General features: G+C 38.7%; 3 protein-coding genes across 14 annotated transcripts in view, besides 5 other annotated features; 2 read left to right on the top strand and 1 right to left on the bottom strand.

Moving 5' to 3' along the window:
• Positions 1-2402, bottom strand: part of ZNF654 (zinc finger protein 654) — an 85406-nt gene extending 83004 nt beyond the window's left edge. For all 10 annotated transcript variants that reach the window (NM_001366097.1, XM_017006789.3, NM_001350134.2 and 7 more), the window contains exon 1: positions 2152-2402. Coding sequence is in view for 4 of the 10 variants with exons in the window: in XM_017006789.3 (XP_016862278.1) it covers positions 2152-2337 (186 nt within the window). In the remaining 6 variants the exon portion in view is untranslated. The remainder of the gene's footprint in view (positions 1-2151) is intronic.
• CGGBP1 (CGG triplet repeat binding protein 1) overlaps positions 1-9707 on the top strand; it is a 97921-nt gene extending 88214 nt beyond the window's left edge. The window contains exons 1-4 of one of the 3 annotated variants that reach the window (NM_001008390.2): positions 2652-2842; positions 3434-3638; positions 4365-4466; positions 5658-9707. In NM_001008390.2, coding sequence (NP_001008391.1) covers positions 5681-6184 — 504 coding nt within the window. In that variant the 5' untranslated portion in view covers positions 2652-2842; positions 3434-3638; positions 4365-4466; positions 5658-5680 and the 3' untranslated portion in view covers positions 6185-9707. Of the gene's footprint in view, positions 1-2651; positions 2843-3433; positions 3639-4364; positions 4467-5657 lie in introns of those variants that run through there. The other 2 variants (NM_003663.4, NM_001195308.2) reach the window with 2 other exon arrangements.
• Positions 1693-2252: an enhancer, noted in NCBI's record as "H3K27ac hESC enhancer chr3:88108555-88109114 (GRCh37/hg19 assembly coordinates)". NCBI's record gives its function as "activates a minimal SCP1, AML or CMV promoter by ChIP-STARR-seq in naive and primed H9 embryonic stem cells {active_cell/tissue: H9 hESC(naive and primed)}" and the evidence as "EXISTENCE:reporter gene assay evidence [ECO:0000049][PMID:30033119]".
• Positions 1693-2557: a biological region, named in NCBI's record as "H3K27ac hESC enhancer GRCh37_chr3:88108555-88109114".
• Positions 2068-2557: an enhancer, noted in NCBI's record as "active region_20115". NCBI's record gives its function as "activates an Ori minimal core promoter by ATAC-STARR-seq in GM12878 lymphoblastoid cells {active_cell/tissue: GM12878}" and the evidence as "EXISTENCE:reporter gene assay evidence [ECO:0000049][PMID:35858748]".
• Positions 2908-3317: a silencer, noted in NCBI's record as "silent region_14547". NCBI's record gives its function as "represses an Ori minimal core promoter by ATAC-STARR-seq in GM12878 lymphoblastoid cells {active_cell/tissue: GM12878}" and the evidence as "EXISTENCE:reporter gene assay evidence [ECO:0000049][PMID:35858748]".
• On the top strand, positions 3441-3518 carry LOC128031834 (uncharacterized). The gene has a single exon (NM_001414731.1). It carries the CDS (start codon positions 3441-3443, stop codon positions 3516-3518), a length of 78 nt encoding a protein of 25 aa, NP_001401660.1.
• Positions 14777-15976: an enhancer, noted in NCBI's record as "MED14-independent group 3 enhancer chr3:88094831-88096030 (GRCh37/hg19 assembly coordinates)". NCBI's record gives its function as "activates an origin of replication core promoter dependent on BRD2, BRD4, P300/CBP and CDK7 cofactors, and independent of MED14, by STARR-seq in HCT116 cells {active_cell/tissue: HCT116}" and the evidence as "EXISTENCE:reporter gene assay evidence [ECO:0000049][PMID:35650434]".

The raw sequence follows: 16628 nt of genomic DNA, 5'->3' as shown, positions 1-16628 counted from the left end.
GATAAAATTCAACTTAATAAAGGAATATTTTATTCCATCTAAAAGCTTTAATATAAAAAAGGACTTCACAAAGCTCACCTGCAAAGTAAAACCAGGACAAAACCTCAGAGCAGATCTCTCAGTAACCTAGAGTATTATAAAATATGTAAAGTTTCAGGTAATAAACTATGTTTCAGGTAAAAGTTGGTAACATGAAAGTATGTCAGTCTAACATAATTTAGCAATAGAAAATAAACGTTCATTAAGTTCTTCCTGTTTTATTTCCTTGGATATACAGGAGGTAGCGAAGTCATAAAGTAGTCAACTTCATTTGTTGTTAAAATATTGTACTGTCACTATTAAGACACTGTGTTTTGCAGGCTAAATTTGTCATTTGTTCTAAAATTTTAGTAGCTGGTTGTTGATATAAAAAGCAAAACAAACAAATTAAATAGATTTTCAGCCCCTGAATATATTAAAAATATAAATTGTATCCTAATTTTCAGAAGTTTACAATTCCTATAGATACAAAATCTACCAATAGCGTGGTTTCTAGATGTAAAAGGTATAGTTACAAAACAAGTGCTCTGAAAACAAGACACTGAACCTCTAAATTCAGTGAATGCCAATTATCAAAATAAAAGTGAATGCCAATTATCAAAATAAAAATACATTTTCAAGAAAGTCATTAAATAGCAATGCCAAAGAAACTGACATACTCTTCAAACCAACTTCTTTATGACACTGGGGGAAAACATTAAATCAAAAGGCAATTTAAATTAAAGCATTAAAAACTTACCTGAAAAATGTCAACTCCATCCTTTTTCTTTCAATGCTTGTAAGGGAATTCTTACAAGCTTTCCCTTACAAGCATTGAAAGAAATTCCTTACAAGCATTGAAAAAATCCCTTACAAGCATTGAAAGAAATGTCAGCAAACATGATGTCCATTTCTCATTAACTTTATTTCCTACTTGTTATCAGAACGAAATTAATAGCTACCTGATTCAAACCCTTCACATATTTATTTAACTATTACTCCTCTTTGACAGAAGGGGAAACTGAGACACAGAGTAACTTGTCCAAGGTAATAATTTCTGCCAGGAGATGGTGGAGCCAGAATCTGAACCCTATACACCCAAATTAATGGACGCATTTTAAAAGGGATGGGATGGAAAAGGAGCAGTTAATTTTTTTCCCCAAAATAGCTTGCAAAAAAAGATTGTTGTGAATGGGAACAAACCGTTTAAATTACAAATGCAGGTAGATGAGAATGCAGAGTACACAAACTTTACCCCTAAAAAAGTAGGGGTATATTTGTTATATTTGATTACAAACACTTTGAACAACATCAAACCCCTGTGACGGTCGACTGAGTAAATAATTTAATGTCACCGTTCAGACACTGTATTTTACAGGCTAAATAAAATACATTATATATTGAAGGATGAGGGGGGTTGGTGATGTTAACCGGAGCAAGAGTTTAAGGAAAATTACTTTCATTATGAGCAGTTAATTAGAAAAGAGTGCGTGTGTCAACCGAAGGAGGTTAAAAAAAAAGACAATCACATTGCCTTAACGCACTCTCTGTCCGAAAAAAGTAACTAAATCACCGTGGGTCAGCGTCTACGCCAACTGGAGAACCGGCCCAGCGGGATCTTGTGAGGGGATGACAGGAGACCCTAGAAGAGGGGGAACAGTGGCAGTGACAGGAAAGATGGCATGTCTCCCATCCCGGAAAAAAAGGGGAGAACACGGGGGGCAATCGGCGGAGAGGGGAAGGCAGAAAATGTTACCAGAGGTGCCAAATGAGGTGAGAAAGACCAGGGTAGGAAACATAAGAAAGGCGGGACTCTCGGGCAGGAAGGTCTGTTTGGGGTAGGGAAGGCATGTCAGGACAGAGCTTTCCGGACAGCCGACCTTCCTTCTTTCCAGCCCCTCCATCCCCGACAAACTCACTTTCTCAGCAACCCTAAGCCCGTGGGTCACCCTCGCCTTGCTCCCCGCCCCCCACCCCAAGCCGGATAAGTGGAGGAGGGAGCTTCAGCCTCACCCTCCTTGTTGGGGAGGAGCGGGCACTGGACATAGACCAGATTCATGGACGAGAAGACCAGGAGACGCAGAGAGGCCCAGGACCCGGGTGACAAGTCGGGGCGGCCAACGGACGCCTCACCTGACAGAAGCGTCGGCAGTAATCCCGACTGCTGATTCCGACGCCGCCGCCGCAGTTGCCGCTGCCAGCGCCGCCTCTGCCGTCGCCCGCAGCTCTAAGCCCCACAGGGCCCAGCGGGGACTCCACAATGGCCACAAGCTCTTCTCCGAGGCGTTCGGCCTCTTGGTCGCTCTCTTCCTCCGCCATGAGGCTCTCGCCGCCCAGCGCGTACCAGCCCCTGCGCCGCCGCCGCCGCCGTAGATGCCTAGGCTAACCTCCTCCTCCTCTCTAGTTCCCTCCCCCTTCCCTCCTCCCTAGCCGGACAGGGGCCTCTCGGCTGGGCTCTACTTCCGGCTCCGCCCACCCACGCCCCCAGTTTTTATTGGAAGACGCAAGCTGCCAATCATGTTCATGCCCGCCTTTCCACTACTATTGGTGAAATCGACAGTCTGTTTGATAAACCGGCCGTCTGTTGGTCAATGCTGCTCGGCGGTTGCTGGGGACCGCCTACGGGCTCTGCCATAGGCGGTGCAGGCGGACGGGGCGCGGCGGGGGACACGGCGGCCGCCGCGGGGCTCGATCGGGCAACGGCGGCGACGGCGGCAGCGACGGATCCTCCTCCTCCCTTATTCCCTTGCTCCTCTTTCTTCCTTTTCTTTTCCTTTCCGGCCGGGCCTCGTCCACTTTCCCTAACGGCGGCCTCGATCCTACGGTACCAAGGAGCTAGGGAGGCCGAGGGTGGGCCCGACCGTTGGTGCGGGCTCTGGGCCCGGGGCCTTCCGTCCAGAAGCTGGAACCGGGGGCGGGGCTGGGGCACAGTTGTCGGAGGGAGGAAGAGGGAGGAGACGGGAAGCTTGACAGCGGCCGCCTCCGCCAGGCGCCTGCCGCCGCCTCCCTTGAGACTGCCGCCAAGTCGGCTGTCGAGTTCCCGGGCCCACAGCTGGCACCTGGGACTCGGCCTTGCCCAGCTAGCGGGGTCGGGACGGCTGGGCGCCGGCGTGCTGGGCTTGGCGCCGGAGGAGAGAGCCCAGACGCCGGGAACGTCCCGGGCCCCGCCTCTCCCCCGCCCCCGCCCGAACCCCCGGGCCTGGGGAGCTGGAGGAGGTGCCAAGCGGGCGGACCACCGAGGAGGACCTGGGAGGGGAAGTGTTAGGGTAAACGTTGGGATCGGGTTTGTAGTTACCTATAAAGTGATTTTAGAAACACCTGCGTGGTGGCAGTTGTTGACGTTCTTGTTCATCTTTTCAGTCACCCTCCTTCCGTCCCCCATTTTTTCCTTCCATTTGTTTTTCGTGTTTTACAGTAAAGGCATGACTTCCTGGCACCACAGGGAAAATCGGGTGCAAGCCCAGAAACTATTTCCCCACCACCACTTGTTGAAAAACTGATTTGAAGGCATCTCCGGGGTTGAACAAACGGAAAGTGCCAGGATTTGATGCGTCTCTGGTTTCGCTCTGGAGACCATTCCCTGCTAAGTATCAAGACGAAAAAAACTGGAAACTAATCCGGTAAACATTTAAACTTGAAAACTTATGATGAGTTTTCTTTTGATCTAGCAAACGATATGCTTTTTCTCTTTTGTTGGCTAATTCCTGCACTTTTTAATTTCTTCATTTGTTGAAAATGTTTTCTTCTATTGAAAACACTTTTGTTCTTCGGGTATGTAAACTCGAGCATCCTCTACTGGGTGGAAATTTGCCTCTGCAGTAACACAAACAGACTTCTTGAAATTACGAAAACATTGGAAAGTATAGGCCTTTCACATTAGCACAAATGATTGAGCATTTTATGCTATAAAGAATTACATGCTTATTGTTTTTGAAATCCAAATATTTAAAGATACAAGACTTTTTACATAGAAAGTAAGACTTAACGCATTACGGGGCACAAATATTTAATATCTACCACAACTAGGTTAGAACCATTAACCATATTTGGTATAGTTACCTCATATTTACCACAACTAGGTTATATTTGGTATATTTACCACAACTAGGTTAGAACCATTAATCATAATTGGTACTGATTTGTGAGGGAGTGTAAAACACATACCATTTACTTAAAGTATAAACGTGTAATGGTAAGTACTAGATAGGAATCATAACTGTCTTCTCTGCCGTTGCAAACCTGTAGCCTAACACAATATTTGGCAAATGAGAGCTGTGCACTTAAAAAAAAAAAAAAAGTGGAAAAAATAAAATTTATTAAAACCTAGACTTTATCGTACTTTTCAGAATTTCTGTGGAATGTTTAATCTTCTGGATCCATGACTGTCTGATACGTTGGCAATTTAAAGTCCTTTTGAAAGAGAGTTCATGTTACCCAGCTATTCTCTAGTATGTATTCATGGAATACTCCATCGTTTCTGATTACACTTATGAGACATAATTCTTCAGAGCACACTTAGAATTATTTCTCTAACATATTTATGCAGACAGAATTCCATCTTGAATTTTATCAAATTCACTTTAACTTCTTAAGTCTTGGTTATTGTAAGAGCCCAAAGGTATGGCCCCAGGGAACAATTAAGACTTGATGATTTGTCACCTACCAAAATATGTTCATTATGTAAAGGTTTCAATGCCCATAAGGCTGTCATTTGGTATTTAGTGCAGTGCTCATAAAAGTGTGTTATTAGGATAAATTGAGAAATTAATTAAGCTGCTTCTAGATTAAATAAATATAAATATTTGGACAAATATTGAAGATACGTACTTTTTCCATCAAATTTTAATTGAGGTTCTGCTGTATACTAGACTCTATGTTCTTGATTTTGTTCTTACTAGTTAAGTGAAGTAAGTATTAACAAATGTAATTATTAATTTTAATGGGAAAAGGAAACAAGTATTAGAGAAGTAAGACTTTGCATATCTTAACACCTTTTGGAAAACGGAGGTATACATGCATTACAAAATAACTTTGAACTGTATATTTTGGCTTTACAATTTAATGTCATTGTTGCTTTTAGTTGTATTTGGTCTGGTTTTTTTTTGTGGTTTTTCCTCAGAACAATTTTGGAAACTATATTCATCTTCATATAGAATTATGGCAGTTTATAGGCCCACCTGTTTGAAAAAACTTTATCCACAGTTGTGTTCCTAAAATCAGTTGTCCCAGAATTGTGACAGGAAAGAAGCTCTTTTGAACTTGAATGCATATCTAAGTTAGATGAGATTAATACAATTTATATCCTGAATGTAATTTATATCCTAAATGTTGAACTGTGATTAGGTTTCCCTAAATAATGGTGACATCTGGGATAGTTTGAGTTCTTTCTTTATAGTCTAATTTACTTGAATTTCGTAAAAATCAAGGAATGGACCTGATTGCGACTGGTTAGTAACTTGTTCTAGTTTTGCCTTCCCTTATATATTTCAGGTAAGTTAAGATTAATAGACACACAGTCTACTAATTTGAATTAAGTTTTTTGAAGTATTTGAAGTGTTTATATACTGCCTTTTATTGTTCATTACTTCCAGAATGAACTGTTGTTATAATACTCATCTTTGTTTCTTTTGTCTTGAAAGAACCATATTTATTTAGAGTCAGAATGGAGCGATTTGTAGTAACAGCACCACCTGCTCGAAACCGTTCTAAGACTGCTTTGTATGTGACTCCCCTGGATCGAGTCACTGAGTTTGGAGGTGAGCTGCATGAAGATGGAGGAAAACTCTTCTGCACTTCTTGCAATGTGGTTCTGAATCATGTTCGCAAGTCTGCCATTAGTGACCACCTCAAGTCAAAGACTCATACCAAGAGGAAGGCAGAATTTGAAGAGCAGAATGTGAGAAAGAAGCAGAGGCCCCTAACTGCATCTCTTCAGTGCAACAGTACTGCGCAAACAGAGAAAGTCAGTGTTATCCAGGACTTTGTGAAAATGTGCCTGGAAGCCAACATCCCACTTGAGAAGGCTGATCACCCAGCAGTCCGTGCTTTCCTATCTCGCCATGTGAAGAATGGAGGCTCCATACCTAAGTCAGACCAGCTACGGAGGGCATATCTTCCTGATGGATATGAGAATGAGAATCAACTCCTCAACTCACAAGATTGTTGACTAGGAGGTTACCACCATTGTGATCAAGATAAATGTGGAGTATTAAAGTTATGTGTTGATTGTGTGGTTCATTTTTGTATTTATTTCATTTAAAATCATGTGACGCAGAATAGTTTTGCAATGTGTATATAGTTGCAGGCAAAAAAAAAACCACCTCACTGCAAAACTTATTGTTAATTTTAGTCACCAATGGTATAAAGCAAAACCTAGGTTTAGAGTGTGCTAGGATACCTGAAACCTGATGGTTATCTTTAAAATTAATGGTTTTTCTCCTGAAATGTTTGTGCATGGAAGAACTGCCCTGCTTTTTTACCCTGTTGCCATGTATGATTATTCCTTGTGAGATTACTTAATTACTTGGATTGAAGACTAGCCTATTGAAGCTGCTGCCAGGCAACACCACTTAACAGTAACTTAAAGGAATTATTTTCTTTAGAGGATCCTCTTCAAAAAGGAAGGGAGATAGTGGAAAACTGTTCTTATATCTTCAGATCCCTAGCAGAAATGACTGTTTATTTCAAACTATGTTTTACTTGTATATGATGTAGTCACCTTAACTATCTTTCAATTCCATACTTCCCCCGCCCCCATTTTAAAGGCTTATTGTTGTATTTTGTAGCAGCTTCAAGTGACCAAAAGACTAAAATCTTTCAACGTCAATGCCAAAAGCCAAGGGGAATTTTGCAGTGACAGGATTTTAGTCTCTTACTATGAATACTAATTTCGAACCATAGCTTTCATTTTAAGCATCATCTTGAATTTCTAAACTTTTTTCTATGTCTTGGTGTTAAAAGATTTCAAGATTGGCATTTTTACTTAAACAGACATTTTATGGTTGAGTTTTCTCTTTATTATAGAGAATTAGTAATTTTTTTTTGGCTGACAGATCAGATAAAATTACTTTCTATTCATTAATTTTTCTCTACAACTTTATGAGTTTATTTAGGTGAATAGTCTAGACTAGAAACAAGTTTACTTTATCTGCTTTGCCTCTGGTGGTACAAGGTTTTTAACATGGATGGTAAACAATTGTCTAGAAATTCTGGCAGGTTTTTTGTATTGGAGATCTGGCAGTATCCTGCATAACTTTGGGTGAGGAAATTGTTCTCTTAAAGATCAGCCATGTTCAGGAAATGATCTCTGTTTGAACCTCACTATCCTGTAAGGTTATCCAAGTAGCTTAGCCCAGCTAAGTTCTATCAGAGACCCAAATTATATTTTTTAAAAATTTAACAGCTGGAAACTTGGACTAGAGCTTTAATAAAAAATCTTAAATTCTTTGAAATTCAAGTTAAAAATACTTATATATTTCTATTACAAAGCAGTGACAAATGATGCCCTGTGTGACTTGGAGTTATCTTTGACTTTTACCACAAATCTTCATTTATAAAAGAAAAAGCCAAAGTGAAAAAAAGTTAGATTGTGTATTTTTCAGTAACAGCTTTCCATGTCTTAAGATTTTTTTACAGACTTAAGTTTCTAATTCAGGTTGTCAAACTGGCCATTTGACTTCAGAGATTTGTTTTCATTAAAAAATAAGCCTGCCGCCAAAATAAATCACTTATCAAAATGTGAACTGTTTTCCTCATGTTCAGTTATGTTAAAGTAGTATGATAAATGCATGCCTAGAGTAGTGCTCTCGTTGATGAAGCACATGTATGAGGAGACCAGCAGCAAAACATAACCATATGTGTTTTGCGTTTACTTCCTCTAGAAAAGAATTTGCAGGCAACCATGTTTAATTTGAACTATCTAAGATGGTAGATTTTAGAAGCTAGGAATAATTGAGTTTTATAGCACTATTTTCAGAATACGAAAAGATACACAATCATTCTGTTTTTTGAAATTCCATGTGATTCAAACTGCTCCCTATTATTTGGGTATTAATTTGCACTAATAGCAAAATGTAATGGCAGATCAGCTTTGAGAGTGGTCCTAAGCAGTAAACTGGATGATGTTGCATTAGAAAAACATCAATAATTCATATTTAAGTTTTAGTAGTTACTACTGATTTGATAATCACTTAAATTTTATATATCTTAATGTATTTTTTCAGACTCCTAATTAATTCCCACATTCACTGTAACTAGGGGCATAGTCCATTCTGTTAGGATTATATCCTCTCCTTAGAAATGTTTTCCATCCTGTTGTGGGGATTTGGTATTAATGTTTCTTCATTGATTATGGAACTTTTGTTCCCTGAAGCTAGTTAACTGTGTCTAAAGTTAAATAAATACAGCAGAATGATTGTTTTAGCCTGCTCGAACTGATACAAATCCCTGAAACCATGATTGGCATATGTTAGATAACAAATGAGGATGTCTAAGAGGCATATGCTGCTTTGGAGGTGTAGTGAACGTGTGTACAGAAGTTTTCAATCTTAACTATATAGTGTTAGTGTGATGCTATACTATTGGAAAAATAGCAGCTTTTTTCTATTTTATAAGTTGTATGCATAAACATAAGATTTGTAATGTTTCATTTATAAACTGCCTTCTTCAACACATGTTAATAGTGTTTTCTCAAAGTATTGATAGTATGTCTTCCAGAATTTCACAATATGCTTACAGTAAATATTTCCTAGCTTGTTGAAATGTTCAATTCTTTGTTGGCTTTCTTCTTGATTCTGTGGGGGTGTATAACAAGCCTGAAGGACATTGTAATCATTTCTTACAAGGTGAAAATTAAGAAAGATTGTGTATGAGAGCCTATATAGTTGTTTTATCCATTATCATCTTTGATTAAGACTTTAAAAAAATGCTATTTCCAGTTAATGCATTTGGCCCTATTGAATTTTCAGGGACCAGAAAACATTAAAAAGTTCTGCATCTTATAATGGTAACCAATTAAGCTTGAGATTGTTCTGAAAGTATCAATTGCTTTAAAACTGTTGTAAGTACAGTTGGCAAGATCTCCAAGCTGAAACTTCCACGTTAAAACTTTTGCCTGTAAGAATTTGCACATGAATGTTAATGGAAAACACAAAACTTAAGATGGCCCAAAACAAAAGCCACAAACAGTTCATCATTTGGTGCTTAGTCTTTGTAAGGGCTCTCTGTGGTTTGACTTACCCCAGCTACCGTTAAATGAGGACAAATCACCTTAAAACATGTTCATTTGATTCATAACAAGGAAAATTGGGTCTATGATTTTTTGCCAATCTTAGCCTAAAAGAAATTGCTTTAGCTTCTGGTCAGCACTGATTAAAATGTGAATAGTGAAGTGGCTATCCTAAACTGGTTTATCTCCACCCACACTATCATAGATTTCTTAGGTAAATACAATTCTTATCTAGTGGTATTCTACTTGTATTCAGAATACTGTATTAAAATTTTACTATTTCATTTTTGTATTCTGTGCTTATTTTTTTTGCTCACGCATGTATGCTTAGTATAAATGTGTCACTTCTAAAGTTTTGTCTCTGACTTTTAGAAATAAATTTCAGAAAAATTGTTTCAAAAGATTTTGAAAGCACATTTTGTTTTGTGAGTCAATGACAAATATATTTCCTGATTACAAAACAGCAGAATCTTACTGAGTTATTTTTCTACTAGTTATAGCTCCCTTTTATAATACTAGTCATTATACTCAACGTAAAAGTATATAATCTGTCAAATCAGATTCACATCATAGCTACAGATATCCCTTTTGCTCCCAAGTTGTATAGATAGATAGTATTTAAGTTTAATCATTGCTTCTAATTGGAAATATTTTAGTTTTTTTTACTTTTGGAAGTATTAGTTATTAAAGGACCTAATTTATAAGTTTCTCTGCTATATTCTCATTACCACTTGTAACAAAAAATGCATACAAATCAAAAATATTTCAATTTTACATAATTTTGAGGGAAAATAATCCTGCTACTAATCCCTTCTGTTTGGCAAAAAATTAATTAATCATCAAGCAGTTTTTATTTTTTCTAGAATCAAAATGGCAGAAAGGGCCTTAAGTCAATACTTCTGCTTCCAGTTTATTTATTTATTTATTTATTTATGAGACGAAGTCTCGCTCTTGTCCCCCAGGCTGGAGTGCAATGGCACGATCTCAGCTCACCGCAACCTCCGCCTCCCGGGTTCAAGTGATTCTCCTGCCGCAGCCTCCCAAGTAGCTGGGATTGATTACAGGCGTGTGCCACAATGCCCAGCTAATTTTTGTATTTTTAGTAGAGACGGGTTTCACCATGTAGGCCAGGCTGGTCTCGAACTCCTGACCTCAGATGATCCGCCCACCTCGGCCTCCCAAAGTGCTGGGATTGCAAGTGGGAGCCACTGCACCCAGCCCTGCTTCCAGTTTAATATTGCCAAACCAAGAGAGTTCTGTCTTCAGTTTTCCTGAAGTGTCTCGCCACAGCCTTTATTAAATGTAAACCTATTGAATGTGCCTCTGAGTCTCGTAAGTTTCTCTTTTTTTTTTTCCCATTTATGTGTGAATTGAGTTGAATTATGTACCTGTGATATGTCATGATGCAAGGATACTTCTGGGATCAGACGAGCCAACCTAGCACTGTGAAAGCTAAAAAGCTAAAACTAGGAAGTAGAACAAGACTTTGATGTGATGTGTGATTTGCATCATATGTATAACATCACTTCTAAGGAATTACCCTTCCCATATGTTACTTGCTTTCAATTGTTTTTATGTATACTATTTAGAGTGAATGCTTCTTAGCTCTTCCTGGCTTAAATGTTGGAATCAGATAATTTGAAAGCCCATGTCCTCAAGTTCTTGGCCAAATTTGAATACTATGCAATCAACTAGTATTTATTGAATCTCTATCTCTGACACTAGCCACTGGGGGATACAGCAGAAAAAATAAAAATCCCGGCCGGGGGCGGTGTCTCACGCCTGTGATCCCAGCACTTTGGGAGGCCGAGGCGGGCGGATCACGAGGTCAGGAGATCGAGACCATCCCGGCTAAAACGGTGAAACCCCGTCTCTACTAAAACTACAAAAAATAGCCGGGCGTAGTGGCGGGCGCCTGTAGTCCTAGCTACTTGGGAGGCTGAGGCAGGAGAATGGCGTGAACCCGGGAGGCGGAGCTTGCAGTGAGCCGAGATCCCGCCACTGCACTCCAGCCTGGGCGACAGAGCGAGACTCCGTCTCAAAAAAAAAAAAAAAAAAAAAAAAAATATCCCAGCCCTCAGTGAGCATGCATTCTAGTTAAGAGTCATTGTTATCTTATAGTGACCCTGGGGGTTGGGTGTGATTAGGGGGAGGTCTTTGTTTTTTCTAGGCAACTCCTTTAAGTATTCATCAGACTTGTTGCCAGTAAATAGTTAATCACTGGTTCATCTGGATTCTCGTTTTGTATAGGAAGAGCAATAAAAGTTCAAAATTTGCAGATTTTTTAAAAGGTCTGCCTATCCTTTGAAAGTCTGGTAGTCTATATAATCCATAAAATATCAATTTCAGAATCTATTAGGTGATGGAGCTGACCAATTTAAATGCCTGTAAAGTAAGAACCTGCCACAGACATTTTACTGAAAAGACAGGAACTTCATTGAATATTTGATATCAAGATAGTCACTAGTGTATCTATTCACACATTAATGATTATCATAATTCAGTCTTCTGGGTTAGTATGTATATTAGATGATATATTCTCCAAACTTTTTTTTGAGACGAAGTCTCGCTCTCTCGCCCAGGCTGGAGTGCAATGGCGCGATCTCGGCTCACTGCAAGTTCTGCCTCCCGGGTTCACGCCATTCTCCTGCCTCAGCCTCCCAAGTAGCTGGGACTACAGGCGCCCGCCACCACGCCCGGCTAATTTTTTGTATTTTTAGTAGAGACGGGGTTTCACCGTGTTAGCCAGGATGGTCTCGATCTCCTGACCTCGTGATCCGCCCGCCTCGGCCTCCCAAAGTGCTGGGATTACAGGCGTGAGCCACCGCGCCCTGCCTCTCCAAACTTTTTAAACATAACAGGAATCAGTGTGTAATAGACTTTGTTTTTATATCCCTTTTTCCTTTTTGAATGTTTTTCTGTTTACCGTGCTTATGTAGTACCTATTCAATACTAATAATGATGATAATAATGACGATTTTATGTATTTTTCATCTAGCAAAAAGATTTTTTTTTTTTGAGACGAAGTCTCTGTCGCACAGGCTGGAGTGCAGTGGCGCGATCTCGGCTCACTGCAACTTCTGCCTATGCCTCCTGAGTAGCTGGGACTACAGGCTGTGCCACCACGCCCGGCTAATTTTTTGTATTTTTAGTAGAGATGAGGTCTCACTGTGTTAGCCAGGATAGTCTCCATCTCCTGACCTCATGATCTGCCCACCTCGGTCTCCCAAAGTGCAAATTCTACTTTTATGAATATATCCTACAGAAATGAAATAGCAATATATAAAGATATATGTAAAAGGAGGTTCATTTTAATATAGTAGTAAACAACTACAAATATTCTGAATGTCCCTCAGTAGGGCAATGGTCAAAACATTATAACACATCTATGTTATGAGCTGTTTAAGTGACCTAAAAGTATGGATCAGAAGAGATGTCTACAGTAATTGCTAGTTTAAAAAATTACAGTGTATTTTCTCACTTTTGAAAAAAACAGAATAATGCTATATAAGTGCAATATATTTGTACCGGATGAGCAGACACACGCCTAATGTTAAAATCACAGACAAGTTGTGACATTGAATGGGGCAAGGGGGAGAATATTTATCTGCCTTTTTATACATTCTTGTATGGTTGACTTATTTAAACCAATTATATATTATTTTTGTCACACACAAAATATAAGGTAGACTTTTATTGAAACCTGTTCACACAATAGTTATATCCAAACTGTAAAGAATAGCAATATGACATAATTCATCTACCTTATTAGTGAAAATATTAAATCATTTTAATTCTTTAATTTTCATTTAAGAATTTTAATTGATGAGCAAATTTTTATTTTTTTTCTAATTATTATTATTTTTTTGAGACGGAGTCTCACTGTTGCCAGGCTGGAGTGCAGTGGTGTGACCTCGGCTCACTGCAACCTCCTCCTCCCGGGTTCAAGCAATTCTCTTGCCTCAGCCTCCTGAGTAGCTGGGATTACAGGCACGCACCACCATGTCCAGCTAATTTTTGTATTTTTAGTAGAGACGGGGTTTCACCATGTTGGCCAGGATGGTCTCGATCTGACCTCATGATCCGCCCACCTTGGCCTCCCAAAGTGCTGGGATTACAGGCGTGAGCCACTGCGCCCGGCCTAGCAAATATTTTTAATATCTTTTTTGAATTATTTTATAAAATTAAGTCGCACATTTATAAAGTTAAGTCATCATTGTGTTTTCCAAGTCATTCATTACCAAGCAGGTAATTGGGGAGGGGGGTCAGTTTCAAAGTTGTGACTTTATTATCCCTGCATTTTTACTCTAAAAATAGCTTATGCCTTCTAGATGTTTACAGTAATTGTATCAATTACTCCACTGTGCTTTAATAATGCCTATAACAAACATAAATTTAATCACTACTAAAACCCCGTAGACAGGTTTCAAAATCTGCTAGTTAATGGGAATAAGATCAGTGGCATACATATCATCAGGTAATTCTTTACAACTTATGACAATTTCTATATGCCACCTTAATTTCCTTTTTCAGAAAACCGGTATTAGATAAGGATTGGAACTTCGTGCCTGGTAATCATTTGTCATCTTCCTCTCCAAGAAGTTTGCTAATTCAGAATTTACAGTCCTTTGAGTGTTGTTTCCTGCCTAGGGATCACCTAGCATCTCCTTGCTTAATGAAAAAATACTAGTTCCTTTACTACTCAGTGTAGTAGTAGTAATATAACACAGTCAAGGTGCCTTCTTTCCTTATAGTAATGGCCATCTGTTCTTAATCTTTCTTTCCTATATTACTTTCTTCTTTCTCTCCTAATGTCTCCTCCTCTCCCTTGCAGATTCTAAATGCTGCACCTTTGGCCTGAAGTTTTAGGTACATCCATGAAATGAAGCAGATTTTTATAATTCAGTCTTCAAATACTGCCAGAATGCTGCATCTAGTATCTTCATCAAGACATACATGCTCATGTCTCTGGATTCTACATGTCTATAGAAATAGATTTTACAATAAAATTTTTTGCCACTATTGTTAGTCAATTAACCTTAAACTCATGAGGTGAATAGTAATGTCTGTCACCTTGACTTTTGTGTCTGTTAACTGCTATTAACCATGAAGCTAATGCTACACATATATATGTATATATATGTGATCAATTTATTTGTTTCCTTAAGGCTATATAAAGTATCAATGTATTAGCATTAGCTTGTTTTAGTCTGTTTTTACACTGCTATAAAGAACTGCCCGAGACTGGGTAATTTATAAAGAAAAGAGGTTTAATCGACTCAGAGTTCGGCATGGCTGGGGAGGCCTCAAGAAACGTACAATTATGGCAGAAGAGGAAGCAGGTACATCTTACATGGCAGCAGGCAAGAGAGAGCATATGAAGGAGGAACTGTCAAACCATCAGATCTTGTGAGAACTCACTCATTGTCACGAGAACAGCATGGGGAAAACCACTCCCATGATCCAAGCACCTCCCTCCCTCAACATGTGGGGATTACAAATCCCTCCTTTGACATGTGGGGATTATAATTTGACATGAGATTTGGGTGGGAACGCAGAGCCAAACCATATCAATGCCACATTTAGGAAAGAACTAACATTTACAAATATGTTTTAAAATTATATTCATTATATTTTGGTATCATTTTATTTGCATCTGTATTCTTTTTAGATTTGATCTTTTTGCTAAAACAATACATGCACACAGTTTAAAAAATCAGATAATGCTAAATGACTTATAATCAGTAATCCCTGCCTCACCATTCACCTATTTTAAACTCATTTTCCTATTTCTTCTGATACTTACTTTCACTTTTTATTTCCTTCTTTTTAGAGATGGGTCCTTGTGCTCTGTCACCCAAGCTGGAATACAGTGGCGCAATGATAGCTCACTGTAGCCTTGAGCTCCTGGGCTCAAGGGATCCTCCCGTCTCAGCCTCTGAAGTAGCTGGGGCTACAGTTGGATGCCACCATGCTCAGCTAATTTTTAAAATTTCGTGTAGATATAGGCAGGGTATTGGGGCGGGAGGTCTTGGTTTGTTGCCCGGGCTTGTCTCAAACTCCTGGCTTCAAGCTGTCCTTCTGCCTCTGTCTCCAAAAGTGCTGGGATTACAGGCATGGGCCACTGCACCTGGACTTACTTTCATAGTTTTAAATAATAATTTTATACTACCATTTTTGAATAGTCAGTTTTACACATGATGCTTAAAATGAAGATTTTGTTCTTTTTCTATTATCATCCCACATTTTCCTCACTATGGGATTTTTATGTAGTTAAAATCAATAGACAGTATTTCAGTTTTTTTGGCCATGTAAATGATTGTTCACCGTCAAACCAAGTAGTTGACTGTGATTCTTTCCCTTCTTATATAATTTTTCTTAAAGCTAATAATTTTATCTTTTGTCTTTGCTTTGCATTCTATTTTTTTCCAAATACACCAACAGATATGGCAAATACCTATAAATAATCTTTCCAAATGCTAATATATGTCAAATAAACTATAAATTCATTTTTGTTTTTTGTTTTTGTTTTTGTTTTTCCTGAGGCCCCCTGTCCCAGCCTTCTTTCCTTCTGCTTAAATCTGAACTTATCTTTCTCTAGGTCCAATACAGTGGTTATCCTGGGATGTCTTTTGCTTTACTGCTTTACTGGCTAGATCCTTCCTTTTCTGTATCCCGGATCCTATGCTTTGCTTAATCCATTGCTTGGCATAAGCATATCCTCCAAAAGCTTCCTGAGGCAGATGGTGTTGAAGGGATATTTCTCAATATCTTGTGTGACTGAAAATAACTTCATTATTCCCTCGTGATTAATTAAAAGTTTGGCTAAGTAGACTGAAAATAATTTTCTTTAATAATATGAAGGCATTGCTCCATAAATATAAATCACAGTGCACTATTTGGTGTTTTGGTATCTAGAGTTTTATTAAGAAGTATAGTGCTTTTCTCAATATTGATTTTAAATATAAAATGTGATTTTATATTATTTTATATTACATTTATAATATAAATATTAACCACCTCAGAAAGAGCAAAGCAAAGAGATATCACAGGATGACTGCTGTATTAGACCTGAAGAAATATAAGTTCAGATTGGAGAAAGAGAAAAGAGGCCGGAGAAGAGAGACCTTCAGAAAAATAAATGTAATATATATTATGTTATATTGTATTATTGCTTTGATAATATACTCTCCTACACTAACTTTATCCTGCTTTGAATTTCTAAGACACCTTTATTCTTTTCAGAACATTTACTTTTAATAGGATCCCATTTGAGGTCTATGATTACAATATATTCTGTTATCTCTCTGTGACTATTATAATTTTTTTTTTTTGAGACAGAGTTTCACCCTTCCACCCAGGCTGGAGTGCAGTGGCATGATCT

This window comes from Homo sapiens, chromosome 3 (assembly GCF_000001405.40).
Source record: "Homo sapiens chromosome 3, GRCh38.p14 Primary Assembly".
Taxonomy (NCBI): Eukaryota; Metazoa; Chordata; class Mammalia; order Primates; family Hominidae; genus Homo; species Homo sapiens.
Note: the sequence above shows the minus strand (reverse complement) of the source record. Positions and strands in the feature narration are given on the sequence as shown.

Coding starts and splice junctions, on each gene's coding strand:
- LOC128031834 (NM_001414731.1), top strand. CDS start 3,441: ATGACTTCCTGGCACCACAGGGAAAATCGGGTGCAAGCCCAGAAACTA.